This window comes from Homo sapiens, chromosome 22, assembly GCF_000001405.40.
Source record: "Homo sapiens chromosome 22, GRCh38.p14 Primary Assembly".
NCBI classification, from domain to species: domain Eukaryota; kingdom Metazoa; phylum Chordata; class Mammalia; order Primates; family Hominidae; genus Homo; species Homo sapiens.
The window spans coordinates 25179834-25207638 of NC_000022.11; the positions used below are offsets into that span (position 1 = coordinate 25179834).

A 27805-nucleotide genomic window follows, 5' to 3' on the forward strand; every position below is an offset into this window, starting at 1 on the left:
AGATCAGTCCATATATTATCAATCTTTTCTGTTTTCTAATGCATCATTTAAGGCTATACATTTTCCTCTAAGGACTATTTTGGCTGCTTACCGTATCAAAACCTGAGCTGAATCTTGAAGAATGGATAATAATGAGTTAGGGAAAGTTATTCCAGGCAGAAGTATCAACAAGATCAAAGGGACAGAGATGTGGAAAGAACATTCTGAAAGAGGCAAGACCTGGTGCTCTGGAGCCCTTGGGCTACCCGAGGAACTGTGTGTGTGGCAGGAGCATCCCTAAACAGTTACGTGTTGCTCAAGCTGGGAATAGCAGGATATGCTGGAAAGGTAGGCAGGGGCCAGATCATGGAGATCCCTGATGCTTTGCTAAGGAGTTAGATTTCGTCTGTAGATGGAGAGCCATGAAAGACTTTTAAGAAGAAACAGGCAGGGCGTGGTGGCTCACGCCTGTAATCCCAACACTTTGGGAGGCCGAGGTGGGTGGATCACGAGGTCAGAAGATTGAGACCATTCTGGCCAACATGGTGAAACCCCGTCTCTACTAAAAATACAAAAATAGCTGGGCATGATGGCACGTGCCTGTAATCCCAGCTACTTAGGAGGCTGAGGCAGGAGAATCGATTGAACCCAGGAGGCGGAGGTTGCAGGGAGCCGAGATCGTGCCACTGCACTCCAGCCTAGCAACAAAGCTAGACTCTGTCTCAAAAAAAAAAAAGAAGAAAAAATTTCTTCTTGCAATGGAAACTAGAGCAGCTGACCTGCCCACTCTATGTAGACACAGCCTTTTTAGTCCTCAAAAACATCTTGTAGGTGCCTTTGTTCATTTGGGATTTGCCCATAGCAAACATTAGGATGTCAGACCAGGCTCTGAGCTGAGTGAGGGGCATTGCTTCTGACCAGATACCTTAAAGAAATGCTTGGAGAGTTCTCTCTCCCACTCCTATCCCATTTCTGTTATTAAAGGAAATGTTTAAGTGCCTCAGGTGAGACCTCTCTGCACTTTCTTGGTTTTCTGAGCCAAGTTCTATTAAGCCACCTGGAGCAAATGAAGACCATAATAGGGACAAAAGCACACAAATACCCCCAGCTGGAACGTGGCAGCAGCACCTCTGGCTCCCATCAGCCTGGAGGAGCCGGCCAGGGGCTGGATGGGGAAGGCTGGGTCTGTGTTTTCTTAGCGTACCTCAGTTCCTCGGGTAGCCCAAGGGCTCCAGAGCACCAGGTCTTGCCTCTTTCATCCCCGCCCCCTCCTCCAATCCTCACTGTGCCCATGCCAGCATCCTGGTCTCAGAGAAGTAGAAACTCCTCCCATATCACTCCTGGAAGAGTGGGATAGGCAGCCCATCACCCAAAAGCTTGAGTGATCAGCTCAGCCTCAAGCACGGGTCTGGGGTTAAGTCCTGGATAGGGGAGTTGGGGTCAAGGAAAATGGCTTCCTGGTCCACCTTTGGGCCGCCTTTCCACAAGACACATGAAGCTCTCCACATTCTCCTCTGAGAGCATAACCTCGGTGCATTGTTGGCTGAAAGCATTCCTATCTACTTTCCTGCCTCTGCCAAAGATTTCCTTCTATTCCCTGACTTGGAATGAGCCAAGGGCCCAGGAGATGGGTTTGCCTCTGTCCTCCCGCAAAAGAAAACCTACTCTGCCTGTTGTCAGTATCTTCTGGCAAGAAGCAGAGTTGTGAGAAGAGAGAGCATGAAAGCAGGCACCTTGGTGGTCCTCATCTGTAAAATGGGCCATAGCGTCTTCTGTGCAGGTCTGATGTGAGCATTGCATGAGATACTGTGTGCAAATTATCTGGCATGTAGGACCTCAATACATGGCAGCTGCTGATGAATTCAGTGCCCTTTTCTTTGCAACAGAGGAGAAATCACCCAGGAAGGAGGAGTCGGATGAGGAGGAGACGGCATCCAAAGCTGAGAGGACCCCTGTCAGCCATCCTCAGAGGATGCCTGCGTTTCCAGGCATGGATCCGGCAGTGCTAAAGGTACCAGACCTCTCACCAAGAGTCACCTGGTGGGCATGATCCTCAACCTTAGCAGTGTAAAGAATAGATTCCGGCTGGGTGCAGTGGCTCACGCCTGTAATCCCAGCACTTTGGGAGGCCGAGTTGGGCGGATCACGAGATCAGGAGATCGAGACCATCCTGGATAACATGGTGAAACCCCGTCTCTACTAAAAAATAGAAAAAAATTAGCCGGGCGTGGTGGCGGGCGCCTGTAGTCCCAGCTACCTGGGAGGCTGAGGCAGGAGAATGGCTTGAACCTGGGAGGCGGAGCTTGCAGTAAGCCGAGATTGCGCCACGGCACTCCAGCCTGGGCGACAGAGCGGGACTCCATCTCAAAAAAAAAACAAAAAACAAACATATTCCTTCCTTCCGTCCTTCCTTCCTTTCTTCCTCCCTCCCTGTCTTCCTCCTTCCTTTTGTCCCTTCTTCCTCCCTCCCTTCCTACCTCTTTCTCTTTCCTCCCTCCCTTTCTCCTTCCTTTTCTCTTCTTTCTTTCCTCCCTCCCTTTCTCTTCTTTCTTTCCTCCCTCCCTTTCTCTTTTCTTCCTTCCTTCCTTTTTTGTCCATCCTTTTTTATCCTTCTTTTTTTCCTTCCTTCTCCTTCCTTCATTCCTTCCATTTTTGAAATAGTTTAAGTTTCAAACGGAGTTGCAAAAATAACTCAGGGAGTTTCTCCATACCCTTCACTCAGCTTCACCCACATGATAGTATTTCACATGACCATAGCACATTGGCAAAATTAGGAAATTGGCTTCTACCATTAACAATACTACCAACTTACTTGGCTTTCACCAGTGGCCCTGTGTTGCTTAATCTCCACTTTCTGACTCTCCTCCGCCCCCAAACCTGCTGCTCTGGTGTCATAGCTAAGCCTTGGTTTGCTTATCTGTAAAGTGGGCTGAGAATCCAACTGGTGACGCTCACCAGTGCTGAACATCAGGGAAGCAGGAGTGAACAAACCCAGGCTCCTGAAGCCCTTGAGGAATCCGGTCTGCTGTGGAAGGCAGGCACAGAAAATGATCATTTCAGTACCAGATGACACAGGAAGCCAGTGCTGGAACCAAGTCCCAGTCTCCCAAATTGCACCAGAATGCCAACTGTATTATGCAATGCTGAGGGAAAGGCTGAGCTGCCTCCCTCCTCCCCACGTCCAGCTCTCACAAGTGTCTCTCATAGTCCTGGAACCAAATGGCACTTAATTTGGGTGAGGAAAGAGGCCCTTTTGCCCCCCTGTTTCAGACATCATGTGCTTGCAAACTCACTTTATGCTCCAGCAACCTTGCAAAAGGTAGCTCTTCGTTCCCCTTTTATTGAAGAAGAAATGAAGGCAGACAAGCCTGAATTGTTGGTGGAATTTCTCAACTCTGTGTATGCCATGCAGGCCACACAATCCCCATGTGGGAGCGCCGTGACTCTGTTGCTCCTTTAGTAGACGGAAGTTTTGCTTTTCTGTCATTTCTTCCACGAATAGAAAATCAGTCAGTAGTGGATGCGTGCTTGTGTCTGTAATTGATTTTACAGGCCCTTACAGTGTGAACATCTTTCAGTCACTAGAACTAGGTTAGAGGTTTTCTGACTTTCTTTCCCTCCCTCCCTCCCTCCCTCCCTCCCTCCCTCCCTCTCTTCCTTCCTTCCTTTCTCTTTCTCCTTCCTTCCTTCCTTCCTTGTTCTCTCCTTCCTTCCTTCCTTCTTCTTTTTTTGTTTTTTGAGACAGTCTCTCTGTCACCCAGGCTAGAGTGCAGTGGTGTGATCCACTGCAAGCTCCGCCTCCCGGGTTCAAGCGATTCTCCTGCCTCAGCCTCCCGAGTAGCTGGGACTACAGGCGCCGGCCACCATGCCTGGCTAATTTTTTGTATTTTTAGTAGAAACGGGGTTTCACCATGTTAGTAAGGATGGTCTCAATCTCCTGACCTCCTGATCCGCCTGCCTCGGCCTCCCAAAGTGCTGGGATTACAGGCGTGAGCCACCGCATCTGGCCTTCCTCCCTCCCTCCCTCCCATCCTTCCTTCCTTCCTTCCCTCATTTTCTTTCTTGCCACAAAGCAAATGATCTTATAAGGTAGCCTAACGCAGGAGGCAGACAGCCACAGGCCCTGGGTGTAGGTGAGATGGAGGCCCTGGGGCTCCCATGTGGATGCACCGAGTAACTGCTGAGGCAGATCTTGGGATTCCAGAACACAGCTCCAGTCCACTGTGCTCTGTGAAAACGGGGCTCTGGCCATTCATTCATCAGTGTTAGCTTAAACTTCAATCTCTACCACAGCAGTGCTAGGCGATTATTAACAACCAGGGGAGGTTGCAGGGCTTGTCCTGGAAAGAACCCTGGAGTTGGGCTGCGGGCAGACCCGGTGTGAATCCCAGTTCATAAAAGCTGTGTGACTTCGGGCTAGACCTTTGAGCTTTGGGCTCTCTCGCCCTGTAAAATGGGGAAAGCCAGGATCTGCCCTAAAAGAATCATACACACATGGAACGAACTCACATTTGTCATATTTCTTGAGCCTGGTAGAGCAAAAGTGATGGGTGATCAGTGCACAGAAGCTATCAGTGGACAATGGTAATGACTGCTGTTGCTGGGGGCTGACCCAACACGGCCTGGGAGAGAGAAGCCACTTGCCACCACTCACACCTCAGGTCCCGCAAGGGAACTTTATGCACACCATTGTATTCCATTCCCAACATGCCCTCCAAAAATGGGTGGATATTTGCCCTCCGGTTTTCTTATGGGACTCTAATAGACTGTCGAAAACTTCATTTTATTTACATGGCTCCAGGAGTAAGGAACTGAACGGAGCTAAGCTGCAGCTGTTGGATGGAGGGAGCTGCTCTCTCCATGTAGAGTTCTCAGGGTGGCATGCCGTGTGCTGAGCACACTACAAATGGTGGCTTTTCAGCAAAAGAGAATGTGATTATGTGGGGTTTGGGTGGTGATTCGATCTTGGGGGTCGAGGGTGGCTGCTTGGAATGCCAGACTGACATCTGACTTTTCTCAGCCCCCATGTTTCCTGTCTGGGTTTATTCCGATTCAGGGGGCCCCGAGTGTTTGCAGAAGGCTCATTGTACCTGACATTTGCATGGGAGGGGGCCCTTCCCCAGACAAAGGGCAGCTTATAGACTCAGCTCTCTTTTCTCCCCAGGCTCAGCTGCACAAGAGGCCAGAGGTGGACAGTCCTGGCGAGACCCCCAGCTGGGCACCCCAACCCAAGAGCCCCAAGTCCCCCTTCCAGCCTGGGGTGCTGGGCAGTCGCGTGCTGCCTTCCAGCATGGACAAGGATGAGAGGTGAGGGGTCTTGGGGAATGGGGGTCCCTCTCCTTCCAAACTCAGGCTATACTTCTAGAGAGGTGCTCGCATAGGTTTTAGAGCTGAATAGAAGAGAGTTACAACTTTTTAATTTTCTCTAGCAGCAGAAGCTTTGTTCATGAGAATTCTCAATACTCAGATACCTAAAAAGTACAACAGAGGCCGGGGAAGGAGGCCAGGAATCAGGCCAGCTGGCCTCTCCTCTTCCCCGCCCACTGCCACCTGCTACATGGAACGCCAGGGCACCATTGCTGGAGAACTACTGATCTAGTTTAGCCCTCTCCAGACCGATGGGGAAACTGAGGCATTCTCCCTCCTCTTCCCCTTTGGGGAAGTATCTTTATTATCAGAGATCTGGAGGACCTGGGAAGGTGGATCAAAGGGCACGGCCAGGTTGAATGAGATCGGTTTCACTCCCTTCGTGGAACAGCTATCCCGATCCTGGGCTGTTCTGTGTAGAGACGAGCACAAAGCAGCTTCTGCCCCCCAAGAGGCTCTCAGGCTCTCAGAGGGGTGTTTCAGCAGCTGGAGGTGGAGGTTAAGAACAGGGGATCTAAGGTCACACAGCCAGGGTTTAATTCCACCATTGCTGCTTAAGAGCTGCATGATGTGGGAAAAGGTACTTGACCTCCTGAACCTCAGTTTCCTCAACTGTAAAGTGGGTTTTCTAACCTCCTAACCTTCCGAGGTGGTCATGAGGATGAAACAAGAGTGTGTCTAAAGCCCTGTGCCTGAGCCCTGGGATGTAGAAGTACTCAGTGAAGCAGAGTGGAAATCTTATCATGAGCACTGTTAATCCATGAAAGTTAGGGATTGTTCCTGATGCTAGAGTTGTAATGATAGTAAGTGCTGGTTGGATCAGAGCAAGAGTGGGTAAGCTATGGCCCACAGGCTAAATCCAGCCCACATCAGTTTTTGTAAGTAAGCTTTATTGGAACACAGCCACATGCATTCATTTATGTATTGTCCATAACTGCTTTAGTGCTACCACTGCAGAGTTAAGAAGTAGCACAGATGTCCCACAGCCCACAGAATCAGGAATATTTTACTCTCTGGCCCTTTCTCTGACCCCTGTGATGGAGGGAGGCAGGTGAAGGGCTCATAATGCACACTTGAGGATGGGCGGCAGAAAAGACTTCCAGCTGGGTGCAGTGGCTCACGTCTATAGTCCCAGGACTTTGGAAGGCAGAGGTGAGAGGATCACTTGAGGCCAGGGGTTGGAGTGCAGTGAGCTATGATTGCACCATTGCACTCCAGCCTGGACTAAAGAATGAGACCTTGTCACGAAAAATAAAAAAAGAAATAAAGAAAAAAAATTAGCTGGCTGTGGTGGTACATGCCTGTGGTCCCAGCTACTCCAGAGGTGGAAGTGGGAGGATCCCTTGAGCCCAGGAGATGGAGGCCATGATCGTGCCACCGCACTCCAGTCTGGGCAATGCAGTAAGTCCCTGCCTCTCTAATTAAAAAAAAGAAGCTTCCAAGAGAAGGAGATACTTGAACTGAATCATGGTGGACAATTGGGTCTTAGCTGGACCACGGGCAGTGAGAGGGGATCCCAGGCTAAAGCCACTGCACATGCAAAGGCCTGGAGGCCAGATGTACCTGGGAGCCTCAGGCAGTGTAAAATACATAGCGCAGAGTGGGCTGTGGGAACCAGAAGGTGAGACATTAGAGAAAGACAGGGCCATAGTTGAGACAGTGCCTCCCTGCTCTGGTAATGCCAGAATTCTGGCTCCAGAGTCAGTGGAGGGCTCCAGCATTTCTCTGTGGCTGGAGAAACCCCCAGACTAGGGCCTCAGAGGCACCTCTGGAGGCCTGGGCTTGTGTCACCACTATTAGGCAAAGCTTGGCTGAAGTCTGGAGTACCCTAGACCCCCATCTGCCCAGGGGGCCCTCTTCTTCCTCATTCCTAGGCTGGCAGGCATAGCAGTTGAAGGCCTGCCCCTAGACTCCAGAGTCACCTAATCTCTCACCCCCTCAGGTGCAGACCCCCACTGTACCACCAACAGGCCAGCATCTTTTCCGACCCCTCCAGGGCCACGGGTCTCAGGAGCTTTCTCTGAGAACAGAATCAGTCACGTCCTGTGTGCATGTGTGTTTGATTATAAAAGCAGTGACTGTAGAAAATACAAAAAGAATACAAAGGGGAAAAGAAAATCATCCACGATCCTACTGTGCAAAGACCATGACTGTTGATATCTGGGCATCTCTCCTTCCATTTTCTTTTTCTTTGTAATGTAGCTGAGATCACGACGTTTGCGTAGTTTGATTCCCCTGCTCCATGTTCCATATGAATGTTTTCCCGTGCCCATTTAACAATCTTCATAAACGTGATTTTTTTTTTCTTGAATAAAGTTTTAAACAATGGTGACTTTATTGTTTTTTGTTGTTTTTGAGACAGGGTCTCACTCTGTCACCCAGGCTGGAATGCAATGGCATGATTATAGCCTCGACCTCCCCAGTCTCAGGTGAATCCTCCCACCTCAGCCTCCATGAGTGGCTGGAACCATAGTTGTGTGCCACCATGACTGGCAAATTTTTGTATTTTTTTGTAGAGACAAGATTTCGCCATGTTGCCCAGGCCGGTCTCGAATTCCTGGATGATCCTCTGCCTCCCAAAGTGCTAGGATTACAGGCATGAGCTACCGTGCCTGGCCTGACTTTATTGTTTTTTATTAAAATGTTGTGTTCTCATTATAAGAAATTCTGAGAACACAGAAAACTGCTAAGAAGAAGGTTAAAAAATAAAAGTCAAAAGTAGTACCATGTAGATGGTGGCTACTCAGATGTATTCACTTTGAGAAAATTCATTGAGCTGTGCACATTTTGATTTGAGTACCTTTCTGTATGTGTTCTTCCATTTAAAAACGTTTGAACAGGCTGGGCATGGTGGCTCACACCTGTACTCCCAGCACTTTGGGAGGCTGAGGTGGGCGGATCACAAGATCAGGAGATCAAGACCATCCTGGCTAACGCAGTGAAACCCCATCTCTACTAAAAATACAAAAAAATTAGCCGGATGTGGTGGCGGGCGCCTGTAGTCCCAGCTACTCGGGAGGCTGAGGCAGGAGAATGGCGTGAACCCAGGAGGCAGAGCTTGCAGTAAGCCGAGATGGCGCCACTGCACTGCAGCCTGGGCGACAGAGAGAGACTCCGTCTCAAAACAAACAAACAAACAGTTTAAACAAATCTCACCTCCCCAAAACAATTATTGTTGACCTTTGATAAACAAAAGGCAGCTCTGTATGCTGTATGTCTTATGGGCATTGTATTGTTCAGAGTTCTCCAGAGAAACAGAGCCAATCGGGTGTGTGTGTGTGTGTGTGTGTGTGTGTGTGTGTGTGTGTGTGTGTAAATAATACAGTTGATCCCTGAACAAGGCAGAGATTAGGGGTACTGACTTCCTACTTAGTCAAAAATCTGCATGTAGCTTTTGACTTTCTAAAATTTAACTACTAATAGCCTAGTGTTGACCAGAAGCCTCACTCATAACCACATACGTATATTTTGTATGTTATATTTTATATATTCTTACAATAAAGTAAGCTAGAGGAAAGATGTTATTAAGAAAATCATAAGGAAGAGAAAATATATTTCCTGTTCATTAAGTGGAAGTGGATCATCATAAAGGTCTTCATCCTTCATCCTTATTGTTTTCCCATTGAGTAGGCTGAGGGGGAGGTGGAAGAGGAGGGATTGGTCTTGCTGCCTCAGGGGCGGCAGAGGCAGAAGAAAATCCAAGTGGACCCACACAGTTCAAACTGTGTTGTTCAAGGGTCAGCTGTATATACATGTACGTATATAGATATGTATGCACATGTAGACACACGTATGTATGTATAGAGATTGATTTTAAGGAATTGGCTCATGTGATTGTGGAGGCAGGCAAGTCCCAAATCTGCAGAGTAGACCAGCAGGCTGGGGATGTGAGGAAGTGTCGAAGTCCAAAAGGCTTCCCTCTTCTTCCTGGGAGGCCAGTCTTTTTCTTTTTTTTTTTTTTTTTTTGTTTTGTTTTTTTGTTTTTTTGTTTTGAGACGGATTCTTGCTCTGTCGCCCAGGCTGGAGTGCAGCAGAGCCATCTCCACTCACTGCAACCTCCGCCTCCTGGGTTCACACCATTCTCCTGCCTCCACACCATTCTCCTGCCTCAGCCTCCTGAGTAGCTGGGACTACAGGCACCCACCACCACACCCGGCTAATTTTTTTTTATTTTTAATAGAGACAGGGTTTCACCGTGTTAGCCGGGATGGTCTTGATCTCCTGACCTCGTGATCCGCCCAGCTCGGCCTCCCAAAGTGCAGGGATTACGGGCGTGAGCCACCGTGCCTGGCGAGGCCAGTCTTTTTCTATTCAGGCCTTCAACTGAGTAGATGAGGCCCTTTTATATCACGGAGGGTAGTCTGTGCTACTCAGCGCCTACTGATTTAAATGTTAACCTCATCTAAGAAAAAATATCTTTGCATAAACATCTAGAATAGTGTCTGACCAAATATCTGGGTACACATTAGGTTTAAGTTGATGCATAAAACTAACCATCACAGACACTTACCTGGATAGAGAGATGGAAGGATGAATAGCTATTTGCATGACAAATGGATGGATGGAAATAATTTTATATAGGACGAATTTTTTGTTTGTTTGTTTGCTTTTTGTGGAGAATGGGGTCTCACTGTGTTGCGTAGGCTGGTCTCAAACTCCTGGGCTCAAGCTATCCTCCTGCCTCTGCCTCCCTAAGTGTTGGAGTTACAGGCATGAGCCACTGTGTCCAACCAAGATAAATTTTTATAACTGCAGTTTATCTCATAGAACAGATATATCGTGATTTATTTCAGCGGTCCCCAACCTTTTTGGCACCATGGACCAGTTTTGTGAAAGACAATTTTTCCACAGACCAGGGGTATAGGGGGGTGGTTTTGTGATGATTCAAACACATTACATTCATTGTGTACTTTATTTCTATTATTATTACATTGTAATTAGAATGAAATAATTCTACAACTCACAGTAGACTCAGTGAGAACCCTGAGCTTGTTTTTCTGCAACTAGATGGTTCCATCTGGGGGTGACGGGAGACAGTGACAGATCATCAGGCATTAGATTCTCATGAGAAGCTCGCAACCTAGATCCCTTGCATGCACAGTTCACAATAGGGTTCACACTCCTATGAGAATCTAATGCTGCCGCTGCTCTGACAGGACGCAGAGATCAGGTGGAATGTGAGTGATGGAGCAGCTGTGAATACAGATGAAGCTTCGCTCACTCGCCCACCACTCACCACCTGCTGTGTGGCCTTGTTCCTAACAGGCCATGGACCAGTATCGGTCTGTGGCCCAGGGGGTTGGGGACCCCTGATTTATTTAATATTCCCCATTGTTGGACACTGTGGTTAATTTCTACTTCTTGCTTATCAGTCCCGTTAATATGGGCATCTTTACCACCTCTGAGTGCTTGCCCCAACCCCGCCTGGGCCCAGGGATAGACAGTCGGATACCACTCAGTCCTGCCCGCAAGGAGCCCACAGTCTGGTTTCAACTAGTCTCTTACTGGCTTTGTGGTTTCAGGTCGGATGAACCCTCTCCCCAGTGGCTAAAGGAATTGAAATCCAAGAAGAGGCAAAGTCTTTATGAGAACCAAGTTTGACCAGGTATGAAGGGGCTCTGTTGGGGAACCTGGGAAGAGCCCTGCAGTCACAGGAATGGGGAACTCAGGGGGGCCACGCTTCAGAGACTGGGGCTGTTGTACCCAAGGAAAGAGGCTGTGTAAGGGGAAGAATGAGGGGTGGGGGGTGTTCTGAGTTCCTGTAAAGAGGATGGTTATGTCTGTTTCCATTTAGGGAGAAAACAAAGCTGGGCTGCCTGGAGTGGGTGAAAGGTACCAGGCCAGGAGGCAGGTGACTGGGGCTCTGGTCTCATGCACTTGGCTGACCCTTCTAGCTGCATCACAGTCCCCTCTGATAAAACAAAAGGGCGGGGACATCAGAGGTTAGCTTAATTAGAAATGGTTACTTTTTTTTTTTTTTTTTTTTGAGACAGAGTTTCGCCCTTGTCACCAAGGCTGGAGTGCAATGATGCAATCTCGGATCTTGGCTCATTGCGGCCTCTGCCTCCCGGGTTCAAACGATTCTCCTGCCTCAGCCTCCTAAGTAGCTGGAATTACAGGTGCCTGCCACCATGCCCAGCTGATTTTTATATTTTTTGTAGAGATGGAGTTTCACCATGTTGGACAGGCTGGTCTCGAACTCCTGACCTCAGGTGATCCATTCACCTCTGGCTCCCAAAGTGCTGGGATTATAGGCGTGAGCCACTGTGCCCGGCCAGAAATGGTTACAGTTTTTATAGGGGGAGTGTTTCATATACAACCTATGTAGTTAAAAATGAATTTGAAAAAATATACATTAAAAATTACGATTAGATAGGCCCTGGTGTAAGTTGCAAATGACTGAACATCATGAACTTAAGTTTCCTCATCTGTAAAATGGGTTAGCAGTGTCCACACCACCGAGTTGTCCTCAGGGCTCACTGAGAATGCACCTGTGGTGCTTGACTGAGTGCTGCCTGTTTCTCCTCAGTATAGGAGCTCATGGTACGTGCACCATCAAAGTCAGCGTTGATGTGATGAGCACAAGAGACTCACCATCCCTTATCCACAAAGCCAAATTCCAGAAAGCCCTGCAAAACAAAGCTTTTTCCTAAGTCAGTGGTAAAACCTGACCTGAGTGAATATAATTCTACTTTGACTCTATTTTCCCCACTTTATATGAATGTTCATAATACACTGCAGGAATATTATCTGCTTGATTATGGTGGTGTTACATATGTATATATATACATATGTGTATATATTACATGATTATGTATGATGCATGTGTGTATGTATAATAAATACTAAAAATTATAAATTCCCAAATAAAACTATGCTCAAGGGATTTGGATAAGGGATCGGGACCTGTGTTTATTTTGTGTTTGGTGCAGTACATGTAATATCTCATTTAAGCCTCCAGCAACCCCTTTGAGGAAACTGAGGCTCAGAATTGAGACTGGAACCCTGACCTGACCCTAAATTTCATGTTGGTTTCACTGTATTCCATGCCTGCCACCCTCCTCACCTCCCCTTTCCACCCAACACAAAAAATCTCTTTTGTGACCTTAGGCTTCTAGGGGTGACTTCATTGGAGAATATCAGGTGAGATTTTAAGGACTGAGGGTAGAGAGCAATGGAGCCAAATGTTCCCACTGCTGACACCAGTACTGTCCCTTCCTCTCCAGGCAGGGAACACTGCCACATCTACGTAACAGAAGCCTTAACCATCAGAACCCGCAGACGAGGCCGAGCTGCTGCCGTTTCTTCCTGCACAACGCTTACGTGCCTGGGCCCTTCCCATTGGATTGAGAACGCTATCCAGTGCCCCTGTCCTCGCCAGGCTCTCCCTGGATCCAGACGGGAAGACCCAACCTCCAGGAGCACTCGCTCATCTCCCCAGACAGCACTTCAGGCTGGGAAAGGAGCCAGGCTGCCCAGAAACGTCCATGTGGGTGGTTTTGCTTTTTATGTAAAAATTTGCATTTCTACCTATTTTAGACACCTTCATCAGCTCCAAGAACATCAGTGTGAGGCTGGAATTGTCTCCCCAGGTTCTGAAAAACACCTGCATTTGTGAAAGCACCTCCTCACCCGACCCCGGGGCAGGTCTTTTTTTGGAAGGACATTTCCAAGGAAGATCAAACTGTTCATTTTCTGCTGTAGTCTCGGTGCAGGGTATTACCGCTGGGTTGAGGTTTTCTATTCTTTTTTTTTGGTGAGTTCCTTCTTCCCCTTGAGGAATCAGCAGTTCCAATTTTTAAACATACTCTCCCTGATTATGTGTATTTCTCTTTCTAGTGGGGCTGTGTGCATCGTTGGCCTATGTTATTGTATGTCATTTTTGTTTGCTTTAGAAGGCGATAAAGCAATAATTCAGCTAATTTTCTTTGAAACTTGATAGGTATATATGTGTTTACGTTAAAGGACAGGAGGAAAGATGTGCGAATAATTTGTTCTGAAGTATCCAGTCACCTCAGGTTATCTTATCCCTATCCAAGCTGTTTAGAAGTTATAATTGTCACTCTTGTATTTATTTCCATGGCTTCTTTTCATTTGAGCTCTGGTTTCGGTAGGGTGACCTTTGCCCCTTGGCCTTAAGGGTTCATAAACTGCAGCCCAAGTGGTGGTGCCTTTGCTTATGAATCATCAGACCTGCCCTAGTAATCTTTTTCTCCAGAGTCTTCTTTGAACATGACGTGGGCTGCTGGCATGGAGGAGTTGTTCCAAACTGGCCTCAGAACAGATGCATGAATGAAGGGTACTTTTTGCTTTTGCTCACCTCATTTTCCTTCATCTTTCTTGATGAATCCATTATTTGCAAATGCTGTCAAAACATGCTTTCCTTCTCCCTGGCTACCTCTCAGGAGTTCATTTGTCTCTCTGTCTCAGCTTCCTCCCTCATCTTCCTTTACCCCTCTTCTCTGTCTTAGTGGGTGGATGGGCATGGATAGAAATCCTCTGTTTCTTTAGGTTAGGATAAACACCTGGGCCCTGGTGAGGCAGTTGCTGTTCAGCACCAGGGACAGCAACTGCAGGGCTGTGAGGCCGGAGCCCACCTTGTGTCCTGTTCGATGAGCTTTGGTTACTGATGAGCAATTGCCAGATCATGTCACCCACCCAGCCTTTTACACCTGGGAGCCTCATGCATCTGGGTTTGGGAGTTTGGCCCTGCTGATGATAGTTTGTTTTCTCTTCATTCCCTGAATTAGTCATCAGTTCTCCGTGGCCATTTGGGGATTCATGCCTGCAACTGCTTCAGTCGAATTCTTTTTTAAAGATCCAGTTTATGTTTTATAATAATTTTGATCTTATGGCTTTCAACGTCAATAGGATCCCCTTTAAAAATACCCTGCTAGTGTTTTGTTTTGTTTTGTTTTTCTGAGACAAGGTCTTACTCTGTTGCTCAAGCTGGAGTGGAGTGGCACGATCATAGCTCACTAACACCTGGGCTCAAGTGATTCTCCCACCTCAGCCTCCCAAGTAGCTGGGACTACAGGTGTATGCTACCATGACCAGCTAATTTTTAAATATTTTTGTAGAGACAAGGGTCTTACCATGTTGCCCAGGCTGGTCTCGAACTTCTGGGCTCAAGCAATTGTCCCTCCTCAGCCTCCCAAAGTGCTCGGATTACAGACATGAGCCACTGCACCTGGCCTGAAACACATTCCTAGTCTTTTGATCCTGACTTCTTATCTGGGCTGCTGTCTCTCTTTCCTTCAGGTGGAAAGGACCCCTTGGTACCATCTCAAGCAGTAGGAAAGGACCTGCTCTTACATATATTGATGGTCCTCATGCAAAACTCTCAATTCTTAATTAGTCATGTCTCAGCTCAAGGATATCAGACAGGAATGAAACACACTTGAAAATGAGATTGACCTGGAGATTTTTTTTCCCTAATCTCTCATACCTTAATTGGAAAAATAATCAATTAATTCTATGTTAATTAGGATATACAAAGTTCACCCTCCTTGAAAGTGACTAGGGCAAGCCCTGAAGATCTTCCTCACCTCCTTTTATTTTTCTATAACCTTGTCTCCTCCAGCACCACAGGGAAGACAATCACAGTGGGTCAAGAGCGACCCTCTTTCACGTGGGCTCTGCCATGACCTCTGAGACCTGCTTATGATCAGTGCAATGAAGTTAGAAGTAACTGATGATTGGGAGCCTTTGCAGATAGCTGGGCAAATGGGTGATTTACTTATCCCCATTCTAAATGGAGTGAGCTCTCTTTGAGGCTAAGCAAGGAGGCGTTGTATGCTAGTTTCTAGACTTTGCCTGGAGACCCCTTTGGAAATCTGTCTTCTTTTTAAACTCACTTAATATGCCTTAATCATCTGTGTGTAATGGAGTCATCCGCTCCTCAATCTAACCCTCCTCCCCTGGGGCTTTGGCTGTCCTCAATGAGAGTTTCATGCAGAATGGAAAATCCTCTATATGTACAATCTCTCTCCCCCTCATTTCTCTTCCTCCTCACCTCCACCACCCCTTTGCACATCAGCATTTTAACAGCTGATCTTTTGAGAAGCCTGTATCTTTTTCCTCTTCAGTAGATACCCTTCTTCATGGTCCTTTGCCTAATCAAACAGAGGCTTTTGGCCTTTGAAAATCCATGACAAGGCCTCAGAAATCAGTGTTGTGGAGGATTACTCCATGCCACCGGAGAAACTCTGGTGAAAGAGAAACCTCGTGGTCTTTAGGATGTTGGGATTTTGAGTGAACCTGACCTGATAGCCTCAGGATTCAGGGAAAGGACAATCAGATGGCGGTGTTTTCCAGGGGGACGCGCCAAATCATGTGGTTTCAGACAATTGTGTTTGCCTTTGTGCCTCCCTGGAAGGGAGGCCAACTAAGGGTATCACCAAGAAGCCAAAAGAGAAATAGGCATGAGCCTGTGGTTTTAAACTTTACAGGCTGGGCAAAGGATTTAGAAAGACCCTTAGCATGATTTTCCTAAAAGAGACCTTAGCTGCTCCAACCTGGTGCTGATAGCTGCTTTGTTGATCTATGCTTTAAAATTTTTCTTTATAATGCCCCCAGATGGCTCCTGGAACTAGTCGTAATTGCAAACTGTAAAAATCCCTCCTCCCCAGTGTAGATATTTAAACCAGAGTAAGTGATGGGGAGACATTCTGTGGTCTCTGAATGTGCCTTCCCCCTCACCGTGTGTTAAAACACAAAAGCCGAAGTTCCATGGCATCATGATTCCGAGGGGCTGGAGGGATAGGACCCACTCCACATCTAAAGGGGATCTGCTTTGGGCTCGGTCCCATTAGCGAGTGGGGGACTCTTGCTGTGTGCTAAGAGGCTGCTAGGACTCACCCAGTTGGAATTCTGGGTGGGCTCAGGAAGTTTAGAGCCACGTAAAAAGCTGGTAGGCATGAGTGTGCCAGGTCTTTGCCAGCCTGCGTCTCCTTTTGCACCCCCCAATCCAGAGTTTGCTTTCTTTTGACTAAATTGGCTCCTGCAGGGGGAAGGGCAGAAAGCTAGGCCCTCTGCTCTGGAAAGTCGGCCTGAGGTTTCCGGCAAGTTAACCCTTAAAATGGACACCCCTCAGCCCGCCCTCCCCTTTGGCCTTCCCAGAATCTCCTTCAGTGGTTGCTCTCACACCTGTGCCATAACATCATCTTCCATGACTTGGACGGGCACTTCCTTGACAATTCCTATTGGCATCACACGGGCTACAAATTATGCTGTTTTCTAAAGAATTTGAACTTTTTTTTTTTTCTTTTCTTGAGACACGGTCTTGCTCTGTTGGCCAGGCTGGAATGCAGTGGCACAATCATAGCTCACTCCAGCCTCCAACTCCTGGGCTCAAGCAATCCTCTCATCTCCACCTCCAGAGTAGCCTAGATGACAGGCGCACATCACCACGCCCAGCTGATCTTTTAAATCTGTTTTGTAGAAACAGGATCTCACTATATTGCCCAAGCTGGTCTTAAACTTGGTCTCAAGTGATTCTACTGCCTCAGCCTCCCAAAGTGCTGGGATTACAGGCCTGAGCCACCATGCCCAGCTGAATTTGAGCTTTTTAATAATCTCATTCCACATAGCCTTATAGATCCTGTAAATAGGGGGGGTCACAAAAGTAATATATTGTGTTATGGAAGATAATTTTGTACTGTGCTGTTTCCTAAATCATACCAATATCCTAAAGTCATGCACTTCCCAGATGATCGTGATCCTCCAAATGCTTTGTAAGATGGGGCAGGGCGTGGAAATATATATATATACACACACACACAGAGACACACACACACACAAGTATAGTATATATTTTCCTAACCTTTCTTCTGGGTCCTTCCTCAGATCTTTGAGTCACGATAGAAAAGGAGCTCGAGTTCTTTGTGTAGGAAAGTTAAGCTTCCTGCCTGCGGTGTTCTTGCAATTGCCTTAGGAATTCACAAGCTCTAGGAGTTCTGAACGGAAGGCAGACGAGAGGCACTTTATCCAGTCCCAGAAAGAATCTCTAACCGTGTGACTGAGAAGTCATCTAGAAAAACTTATATTTTTAATGTAAAAACAAATGGGGCTTACCAGACCTCACAGAGTATTGGACGTCTACAAGTGCTTTTATATTTTGTAACTGTAAAGAAGTTTCATATGCACAGAAGAGCAGTTGGAAATCTGGTCGACTGCAATAAAACAAGATGACCTTTGCATGTACAAAGATGTTGCATTCAGACTATGAAAATAGCAAATAAAGCTTTGGTGCAAGTTGCATTGGAGAAGTCGGTGCGTCCATGTGTGAATGAATAGAGTCTCCCATGCATGCAGGCCCTGACTGGGGCTGGCTGAGTCAGTCTGTCCTGTGCTGAGCTGTGGGCCAGCCAGCGAGAGGGCAGAGCTGGGGTCCTGGGAGAGGGTGTCCATGCAGAATGGGAGGCCATGGAAACAAGGCAGGATTTCCATTCAGACTGACAAGGGGTTGAGTCCTCCTCCTGCCACCCTCTGGCTGTGGGATTTCTTTTAAACATTGGTTCTCCTTAGCTATACAATGGGAGTGGTGATCAGGACATTTTTGCAGGTAACAGTTTAAGGTGGTGGTTCTCAGCTGGGTGGATTGTGCCCTCCAGAGCATGTCTGGTAATGAAAGGAGGCATTATTGGTTATCACAAGAAGGAGAGAAGATGCTCCAGGAAGTGAGTAGAGGCCAGGGATGCTGCTCAGCATCCTGCAGTGCACAGGACAGCTCCCACCCCGACCCCACCACAAAGAATGACCCGACCCCAAATGGCAGTAGTGTCAAGGTTGAAAAGTCTAGATTGGGGAGATGTGGTACATCAAAGTGCTGAGCGTGCAGTAGGTCTGCAAGGTCCTCAAAGATGTGATGGGAGGGGGAGCCACGCCATCCCCACCTCTGCCTTCCTCCTTCTGTCCCAGCTGGTGGCAACTACATCCCAACTCAGGGGGTCCAAACCGACTGCTTTCTGTGACCTTCAGCAGGAAGTAGCCCCTTGGCTTGAACTGTCCAGAGTAGGCAGGATGCTGGGAATAAAAGTCAAAAATAACAGATACTGTGCGCAGTGCTTTGCTTGCATGACCTCCCAAAATGGCCCAAGTGGAGAGAAGGTTCTCCATTTATGGTGAGGAGACAGTAGCTCTGAGACCTTCAGGAACTCGTCCAAGGTCACACACATCTGCCTGACTCAGAGTCCAGCTGTCATCCACAGCATCTCACCACCATCTCCCTCTAGGGGGTACAGGGTAACTGTGTTTTTGTTTGTTTGTTTGTTTTTTGAGACGGAGTCTTGCTCTGTTGCCCAGGCTGGAGTGCAGTGGTGCGATCTCAGCTCACTGCAAGCTCTGCCTCCTGGGTTCACACCATTCTCCTGCCTCAGCCTCCCATGTAGCTGGGACTACAGGCACCCGCCACCACACCTGGCTAATTTTTTGTGTTTTTAGTAGAGACAGGGTTTCACCGTGTTAGCCAGGATGGTCTCGAGCTCCTGACTTCGTGATCCGCCTGCCTCGGCCTCCCAGAGTGTTGGGATTACAGGCGTGAGCCACCGCGCCCGGCCTGTAACTGGGTTTTATGCTGACTTGAGGATTTTAGCCAAAAACAAATACCAACAACAACAAAAGAAAACCTTGTTAACTCACTCCTTTGCTCCAATATAATTTTATTCATAAAATAATCACTTATTAGATATTGATTACAGGCAAAATTATACTTTGTTAGACACTTAAAAAATTCCTGGAAGCTGGGTGCAGTGGCACGTGCCTGTAGTTCCGGTTATTCAGGACACTGAGGAGAAAGGATTGCTTGAGCCCAGGAGTTTGAGTCCAGCCTGGGCAATGTAGCAACAACCTATCTCTAAAAAATAAAATAAAAATACCTGGATCTACCTTTTTTCTTTGGTCATAAATAAGTTGACTGTGATGGTCACTTTTATTTCTATTGAGGCTAAGATCCCAGGTCCTGGAGCAGGCCAGCCCCTTCTCTCTGCTGTGTGATTCTGAGTAAATGGGTTCACCTCTCTGAACTCAGTTTCTCCATGTATAAAGTGGAATCAGAATTCCTCCCCTAAGGATGGCTGGATGAGAATTCCATACAATGCTTGTGAAGCTGGCACAATGCCTTGCGTGTAGTAGGTGTTCAAGAAATGGTAGCTATTATTCGTGCGTGTCTTCTACATGAAGAAAGTCAGTCTGTGAGTTCTGTGACGGCATCCTATGGAAACGGTTGGGTGGATTTGCGCCCAAGTTGGAGAGTATGGTTAGCGTGATCTGACTTAAAACTTAGGCCACATGGCACATGGAAACTGGAGAGTGTCTGGGGTCCCTCACTTTAAGAACTAGAATTTTTCCAAAGGTTGCGTGTGACTCAATAGGAAATGGTGACCCCAAGAAACCAAAGAAAGGGAGTTGGTGGTTGTGGGGAGACACGGGAGAGCTGCACACCGTGCCCCTTGCCTGGCGCTGCTGGGCTTCCCACAAAGCCAGTGAGGTTCATCTGTCCCCAGGAAGTCATCAGAGACGGTGGCTGAGGAGACAGGCACTGGGGGCCTCCGTGGACCCGCTATTGGAGTGAAGTGGCCTGGATGGAATTGGGTGGACAGGGTGCTGCCTCAGCAGGCTGGGATGTGCTGGGCTGTCAGAAAGTGCTCATAAATAGCATGCCCCTTGCGAAGACAGGCGAGTCTGCAGACGGCCGTGGCTCCTCTGTTCTTCCCGAGGCTACAGCAACAGGTTCATTCTGGGATGGGTTGGGGGTGGGGAGGCAAAAGCCACCCTGGCAGGCCCGGACCTTTTGTAGTTTCTGTGGGACGCGCATGGCTGACCGCCTGCAAAGAAAAACAGCGCCTCCCTTAAGGGTCAGGTCCCAGTGAGAGGACCCTGACAGCCCAGCTGGGGGTGGAACGAGGGACCCTTGTCTGCAGTGGCCAGGGTCCAAGCCCCTGGACATGTGCTTAGGGCAGGGGACCTTCCAAAACAGCTCCTCTGAGGGAGGGGAGTGGGCACACATGGTACCTGCCAAGTCCCCCGAGAGTCCCCTGTGAGCTGGACCAAGCCCTGTTTCCTGCTGAGGCTAGGAGAGACAGAACCGACAGCCCGCAGGCTGTGCATGGTTAGGCCCACATCCAGAGTATGTGGGCTGTGCAGCTGTGCATGCTGGGGTGGCCGTGCTGGGAGCCGTGGGTGGGTAACAGTTGGATGTGGGGTGTAGATGTAGGTGCCTTGTTTACCACTGTGGATGTCTGAAATGGGCAGGGATGTGTGTGTGTGAGGAGAGAGAGAGAGAGAGAGAAAGAAGCTGTCCTGTGAGCCCATGGGTGAAATATAACTGATAGTGACCATAGAAACTTTTGCGAGTGTGTGCACCTATGTGTGTGTGCTGACAAACAGAACAGTCCTGTGTGTGTCCATGGGTGCAACAATGATGAGAATCCTTCCATGTGACTGCGGCAGGGGCCTGTATTGCGTGTCACTGTCCCTGTAGCAATGAAGAACTGTCGGTGTCTGGGTCTTGAAGTGGCTGGTACACAGTCGTGTTCAATAAATGCTTAAGGAATGAGTAACCGAACGCAGGGAAACTGACCTGGAGCAGGTGTCCAACGACCTGGTCTTACAAGCCTTTTCTCTAGAGGTCTGTCTGTCCACCTCCCGACATATGGGGTCTCCTGTCCCTCCTGGTCACCCAGCCCAGAGCCTGGCACTGTGTAGGTGCTCATGGAATATTTGTTGAATAAAGTAACCAGTGAACAAAAGAGTTCCTGGAGTACGGAGGTGGGAGAGACCCCTGTAGAGGAAACTCCCTGAAGCCCACCCTTTAGCCAGGTTCTGGGGGTGGGACATCTGCAGAGAGCTCTGAGAAACCTGGGTTTCGGGGAGCATCTGGATCAGGGGAAAAGGGCACGGGCTTTGGAGCCAGGCCCGACCCAGGCCACTTCCTCACTGTGTGCTTGAGGAAGTGGCCTCACTTTGCTGAGCCTCAGAGTTCCCCTCTGTACAATGGGGCTCCTGATCCCACTGTCTCAGTCCACGTGGCCCATGGCAGGTGCTCAATGGATGTTTGCTGAATGACTGAATGTCGATCATAAGTTACAGCCACGCCCCATGGGCAGCAAGGCTCTGTAGCTCATCCTGGACTCCAGTCACATCAACACCTGGCTTCTCCCGGGTGGATCCAGTGAACCATTTTCTTTTGGTTTGAAGCCAGAGGTGTTCCTGGGGAGATGGCGGAACAGCACGGAGCACCCGAACAGGCTGCAGCTGGCAAGAGCCATGGAGACCTTGGGGGCAGCTACAAGGTACTGGGCAGGGAGGGGGTCAGAGGGCCCAGGCTACTCCTGGGCCTCAGGGTCATCTTCCCAGCCAAGCAGCACCTCTGCAGGAAGGAAGAGCCATCCTTCCAACCACCCAGGCCAGGACAAAACGCTCCGGGTGGGTCCTCTCACTGCCACCCTCCCGTTAGAAACTTGCTTCATGACTTTGCTGCATCTTCCCTCGTCTGCAAAACAGAAATGGTCACCCACATCCTGCCTGCACCAATGGATCAGAGAGGCCCGGGGGTTTCTGGAAACGGCTCTGAGCTCTGACTCTCCTGTCTGACCTCAGCCTGGTGTCTTGCCCACTCTGGGGAAAAGGGCACAGGGTTTGGAGGCTCTCTGGGCCTCAACAGCCCCATGTTTGAAATGAGGATGGTGCCCAGATATTGTGCCCAGAGTTGGTGTAAAGGCTGAAAGACATGAGTGAAGCCAGCTAGCAGAGGGAGGCACACTAGAAATCTGAGAGAAGGTTTGAATGTGTTGGCTCTGCCCTTTCCAAACCATCTCCGGGGTCTTTTTGGGAAACTATTCCAGACAGAGTCTAAGGATGGGTCGAATCCCAGTGCCTCCTCTTAACTTGCTGTGCAGCCCGAGGCAAGTATCTTACCCTTTCTGAGCTTCTTTGATCCCTTCTGTAAAATGACTAGAACAGATGTTCCCTGGGGATCTTCTACAAAGTCAGTTTGTGTTTCCAGGTGGGTGAGAGAGGCAAAACCTTGGTCTGCCTTTGCAGCCCTTCTCTTCCTAGGCTTGGGGCAGGCAGAGGTCTTCCCCGAGACTGCAAACAGGTGTTTTCATTTTTTTAAGGGGGAAATTTCCTATTAAGGAAAATACAGATTTCTGACCTCTCTTGAAAAAATTGGAACTGGGACCTCATTCCCTCATCGCCAGAAGCAGCTTCATTTCCCCACCGACCTCTCGGGTTATTTCAGTCCGCTGGACTCCCCACCTGGCTCCTGCTGGACATCAGAGTTGCAATCACTAGTTTAATTGGTCTCATTGAAGTTCCTGAAGGCGTTTCCCTCCATGACCATTAGAGGGCAGTGCAGGCCCACCTCAGTGCCAGCTCCAGGCTGGAGAGATGCAGAAAGCAGAGGGTACCTCCCTCTAATGCCCAAAGGAGGGGCAGAGGCTGGAGCTGGGAGCCTAGCAGAGGTGGGATGTTTAGGACTCTGCTCTTCTAGGTGATCTTGTACGAACTAGAGAACTTCCAAGGCAAACGCTGCGAGCTCTCGGCCGAGTGCCCCAGCCTGACCGACAGCCTGCTGGAGAAGGTGGGCTCCATCCAAGTGGAGTCCGGGCCGTGAGTACCTAGACCCCCAGTCCCTCGCCACAGCCCTGAGCCTTCTGGGAGTGTGGAGGCCCCAGTCTGAGCTCTAGATCTGTTGTGGGGCTTTTGACAGCTCCCCTGCCTTCTCTGGCCTCGTTTTCCGCATCTGTAAAATGAGAGTTGAAGAATTCTCTAGAATCCTAGATGTCTGCAGAAAATCCCAGGATACCTGAGGTTGGAAGAACAGCAAGGTCAACCTAGCACCTAACTCAGTGACTGGAACATGGGATTTAATATTTATAATTTTAATAATAATTGTAACACCTAAAATTTAACATGCATTATGTCATTGAATCGTCATGACCCTGTGACAGAGGTATCATTCTTATTCCCACTTTATAGATGGGGAAACTGAGGCCAAAGTTGGTAAGTGTCCCATCCATGTCCACAAGGCAGGCAGGTCTCCCAGCTGGGCCCTGAATTCCCGCCTTTGGATTGCAAGTCCAGGCTCTGGCACTAACCATCTGGGTGATCTTCGGCAAGTTGCTTCACACACCAGGCCTCTGTTTTCTCATCTGTTGAATGGGGATAACAATGGTACGTACTTCAGAGAGAGTTTTTATGAAAATGAATGGAATGATGCAAATAAATACATATTAATAACAATACAATACAAAGAAGAGGAAAAGGAAGAGGAAGAAGTCACTGTCACCTATGGAATACTTACTGTGTACCGGGCATTGTGCTAAAGACTTTTCTGGGTACCTTGCACAGAGGCTAGATTCTCAATAACATACCCTAGGATGGTTTTCTGGCCCAGAGTCTCAGACAGTTCCCGGTATGTCCTAGCAGCTCCTTTAATTACAGGTCCAGGAATTAGCAGTAGGGTTGGAGGGAGGGTACAAGGTTCAAGGTCAGCAGCTCTTGGACACTTCTCTCACTAAACTTGAATCCTTCCTCAGCTGCAGCAAAGGTGACCCAGCCAAGCCTCTTCCTCCCTCAGGTGGCTGGCATTTGAGTCCAGGGCCTTCCGCGGGGAGCAGTTTGTTCTGGAGAAGGGGGATTATCCTCGCTGGGATGCCTGGTCCAACAGCCGTGATAGTGACAGCCTTCTGTCCCTCCGGCCTCTGAATATTGTGAGTGTGGTTCCTGCTCACTTCTGGGTGTTCCTGGAAGCAGGGTGCACTGAGAGCTGGTCAGGCAGCTCATTGCACAAGCTGGGCTGAGGGTTTGGCCCATATGGACCTGGCCTGGGAAGGGCCCTCATGTTTCTGATTTGAACAATTGTGTGGGACAAGAAGTGGGATATTGAAGGGACATTCGGTTGGGGATTGAGACACCAGGACTCACATCTTGAATTAAACCAGCATAGCACTGGGACTTTTCTTTGTAACCGTACTAAAACGATGAGCCACATGGCCCAGTCTCAAATCAGTATTGTTATCAAAGAAATGCAGTCCAGGAAATAACTTCAGAAAGTAGCCAAAATACTTTAAGTTCTCCACTTGTGTTTTTCTAGCACCTGAAAGGGACACAGTCCACAGTGACACTTTTTATTTATTTGTTTATTTATTTATTTTTCGAGACAGACTCCTGCTCTGTCACCCATGCTGGAGTGCAGTCTTTCTCTCTCTCTCTTTTTAAACATTTTTATTTATGTATTTTTATTTCATTTTGAGTTGCAGTCTCGCTCTGTCACCCAGGCTGGAGTGCAGTGGCATGATCTCTGCTCACTGCAACCTCTGCCTCCTGGGTTCAAGTGATTCTCCTGCCTCAGCCTCCTGAGTAGCTGGGACTGAAGGCACATGCCACCACGCTGGGCTAATTTTTGTATTTTTAGTAGAGGTGGCGTTTTGCCATGTTGGCAAAGCTGGTCTTGAACTTCTGGCCTCAAGTGATCTGCCTGCCTCGGCCTCCCAAAGTACTGGGATTACAGGCCTGAGCCACCACGCCCGGCCCACAGTGACACTTTAAACACCACCCTTCTCCCTCCCCTGCTTCACTCACACCCCGCAGCTGCTCCAGCCCTTTCTCTTTGTCACATAACTGAGTCCTCCTTAGAGGGCAGTGGAAGAGGGGAAACTGGGAAGATTAAACCGGCATCTGGTTAGGAAAGAGGGAAAGCTCATATGTTGATACTTTTGATCTCTGTCCACCCTCTCCTGGCCTCAGTTTCTCTATCATTTAAATGATGGGATTGAACAAGATCTGGAAATTCCTTTTCAGTTTTATAATCTACGGCTCTAGGTTCCTAAATCAACCAGCTTTGGAGGAATCTCCCCGTCCCTCCTACAGTGAATTTGGGGGTGGAGGCATCTCCTGAGGCCCTTCCCTCCTGCAGCAGGTTTGGGGGTGGGTGTTATTTTGTGGTGACCTGTTGATTCTTTCCGGCATCTGGAGCCTCCTTGACCTCTGTTCTGGATATGGGAGCAGCCGCTCACCCCACGATATTGCCCTCAGGATAGTCCACATCACAAGCTGCATCTGTTTGAGAACCCAGCTTTCAGTGGCCGCAAGATGGAGATAGTGGATGATGACGTGCCCAGCCTGTGGGCTCATGGCTTCCAGGACCGTGTGGCGAGTGTCCGTGCCATCAACGGGACGTAAGGGACCCAACCCTCACCCTTGCCCCATCTTCTGGTCAGCCATGCCTCTGGCTCCAAACAGAATCAGTGCCCATAGTTTCTTATTATTTTATTTATTTATTTATTTATTTTTGAGACGGAGTCTTGCTCTGTCGCCCAGGCTGGAGTGCAGTGGCGCGATCTCAGCTCACTGCAAGCTCCGCCTCCCGGGTTCATGCCATTCTCCTGCCTCAGCCTCCCGAGTAGCTGGGACTACAGGCGCCCACGACCACGCCCGGCTAAGTTTTTGTATTTTTAGTAGAGACGGGGTTTCACCGTGTTAGCCAGGATGGTCTCAATCTCCTGACCTCATGATCTGCCCGCCTCGGCCTCCCAAAGTGCTGGGATTACAGGTGTGAGCCACGGCGCCCGGCCATCGGTGCCTATAGTTTCTTGCATGATTCATGTTCCCTGCACTCCTGTACTGTTGAGATTTCTAGGCAGCCTTGACTTAAAACAAGTAAAATCTGTTCTCTCCACCTGTTCCCATCTGAGTCCTTCCTGCTTTTTTAAACATCCCCACACCCTTGAACTGATTCTTGAAATGTTCTTCCCCCTCACAACTCTTGTTCTTCTTAACAAGGGGCCCAGGATGTATGCAGTTATTGAGATGTGACACAAGTTGTACAGAGGAGAGCAGGCTTATCACCTCCCTCTTTCTAGGCTTAATATCACCGTTGATGCAGTCTTAGGATCACCTGCTTTTTGTAGGTGGTTACATCTCACTTGTGGGCTTGTAATCTGGGGTTGGGCCTTGAGAGGTGCCACCTATCCCTGATAATAATTTATTCAACAATTTTTTACTGAACATCTACTATATGCTGGTGTGCTGATACAGAGAACAACAAGAATGGCACATCCTCTGGCCCTCAAAAAATTTGCGTAGTCTGGGGCTCACGCCTGTAATCCCAGCACTTTGGGAGGCCGAAGTGGGCGGATCACCTGAGGTCAGGAGTTCATGACCAGCCTGACCACCACGGAGAAACCCCGTCTCTACTAAAAATACAAAATTAGCCGGGCATGGTGGCGCATGCCTGTAATCCCAGCTACTCAAGAGGCTGAGGCAGGAGAATCACTTGAACCTGGGAGGTGGAGGTTGTAGTGAGCCGAGATCACGCCACTGCACTCCAGCCTGAGCAACAAGAGCGAAACTCCATCTAAAAAAAGAAAAATTACATAGTTTGATGGAGAGACAGACAAAGTAACAGGTATTCACAACGTATTGTGATCAGGATTGGGACTGGGATGCACAAGGGGCTCTGGGAGTCCCAGTGAGGTACTCGATTCAGCCTGCAGGAGTCTGGAGACATCTAAATTGAGCTGTAATGGATGCAAGTGGAAAAAAGGGGGAAGGAGAGGGATGAGGTGAGCAAGAGTGTTCCAGGCAGAAGGAATCATGCATACAAAGGCCCCCCAACACAGCAGGTTCCGGGAAAGTAGAATAAGAGAGGCCACGGTGTTGAGTGTGAATGGGATGTTGAGAGATAAGGCTAGAGATGCTTTGTTAAGGGTCCTGTGAGCAGGGTAAAGAGTTTGGATTCATCCCAAGGGCTCTGGGGAGCTAAAGAGGAATGTAGGCAGGCAGAGTGCATGGTCAGATGCTGGCTGGAGGCAGGGTGACTGGAAGCAGACCGTCCACATCTCAACCTTGGTCTCCCGGCAGGTGGGTTGGCTATGAGTTCCCCGGCTACCGTGGGCGCCAGTACGTGTTTGAGCGGGGCGAGTACCGCCACTGGAATGAGTGGGACGCCAGCCAGCCGCAGCTGCAGTCTGTGCGCCGCATCCGTGACCAGAAGTGGCACAAGCGGGGCCGCTTCCCCAGCAGCTGAAAGGCACCCAGACTTCAAGGACCCAGACCCACCCTGGGGGGCTGCAAGGGCAAGAAGAGGAGGCTCCAGGGTTGGGGCGAGGGCCGACCTGTCCACCCTTCCCTGGAATCTGCTCAATAAAGCCTGGGGTTGGTCCCCCACCCGCCACGTTCCTCGGCATCACTTCCTGAGGGAGCCAGGCCTGGGGCGGGACCTGTGGGAGAGGCGTGCTGAAGGAGGCTGGGGCTTGAGTGTTCTGAGACTCCCAGGAAGGGGCTGGGAAATTTGCCCATATCCTAGGCTCTAATCCTTTCAGGCAGAGCCATGTGCCCCTACTGCCCTGATCTTGTGTTTGTCTGCTGCTGCATGTTTCCATCTGAATGTCTGTCAGTCTGCCCATCCACTCACCCATCCATCCATCATCCTTCCACCCACCCACCCACCCAT

At 48.9% G+C, this 27805-nt stretch overlaps 2 protein-coding genes across 11 annotated transcripts in view, besides 1 other annotated feature; both read left to right on the forward strand.

Moving 5' to 3' along the window:
- The window catches only part of KIAA1671, a 244733-nt gene extending 227118 nt beyond the window's left edge, over positions 1-17615 (forward strand). For 8 of the 9 annotated variants that reach the window (NM_001386933.1, NM_001386932.1, XM_047441556.1 and 5 more), the window contains 4 exons: positions 1866-1990; positions 5144-5286; positions 10869-10951; positions 12573-17615. In NM_001386933.1, the coding sequence (NP_001373862.1) occupies positions 1866-1990; positions 5144-5286; positions 10869-10947 (347 nt within the window). In that variant the 3' untranslated portion in view covers positions 10948-10951; positions 12573-17615. Of the gene's footprint in view, positions 1-1865; positions 1991-5143; positions 5287-7288; positions 7679-10868; positions 10952-12572 lie in introns of those variants that run through there. The other variant, NM_001386930.1, reaches the window with a different exon arrangement.
- Positions 7798-7967: an enhancer, noted in NCBI's record as "experimental_63172 CRE fragment used in MPRA reporter constructs". NCBI's record gives its function as "activates a minimal promoter by MPRAs in K562 erythroleukemia cells, with activity observed for the non-introgressed 22:25583683 variant allele {active_cell/tissue: K562}" and the evidence as "EXISTENCE:reporter gene assay evidence [ECO:0000049][PMID:34662402]".
- Positions 20025-27526, forward strand: CRYBB3 (crystallin beta B3). 2 transcript variants are annotated; one of them, NM_004076.5, is made up of 6 exons: positions 20025-20076; positions 21544-21638; positions 22841-22959; positions 23930-24062; positions 25387-25529; positions 27214-27526. In NM_004076.5, exons 2-6 carry the CDS (start codon positions 21564-21566, stop codon positions 27377-27379), a joined length of 636 nt encoding a protein of 211 aa, NP_004067.1. In that variant the 5' UTR covers positions 20025-20076; positions 21544-21563; the 3' UTR covers positions 27380-27526. The 2 variants fall into 2 exon arrangements, with proteins under 2 accessions (NP_004067.1, XP_047297103.1); XM_047441147.1 differs by having other exon boundaries at positions 20025-21638.

Coding starts and splice junctions, on each gene's coding strand:
- CRYBB3 (XM_047441147.1), top strand. CDS start 21,564: ATGGCGGAACAGCACGGAGCACCCGAACAGGCTGCAGCTGGCAAGAGC. Junction 21,639..22,840: donor ACCTTGGGGGCAGCTACAAG/GTACTGGGCAGG, acceptor CTGCTCTTCTAG/GTGATCTTGTACGAACTAGA. Junction 25,530..27,213: donor GTCCGTGCCATCAACGGGAC/GTAAGGGACCCA, acceptor GTCTCCCGGCAG/GTGGGTTGGCTATGAGTTCC.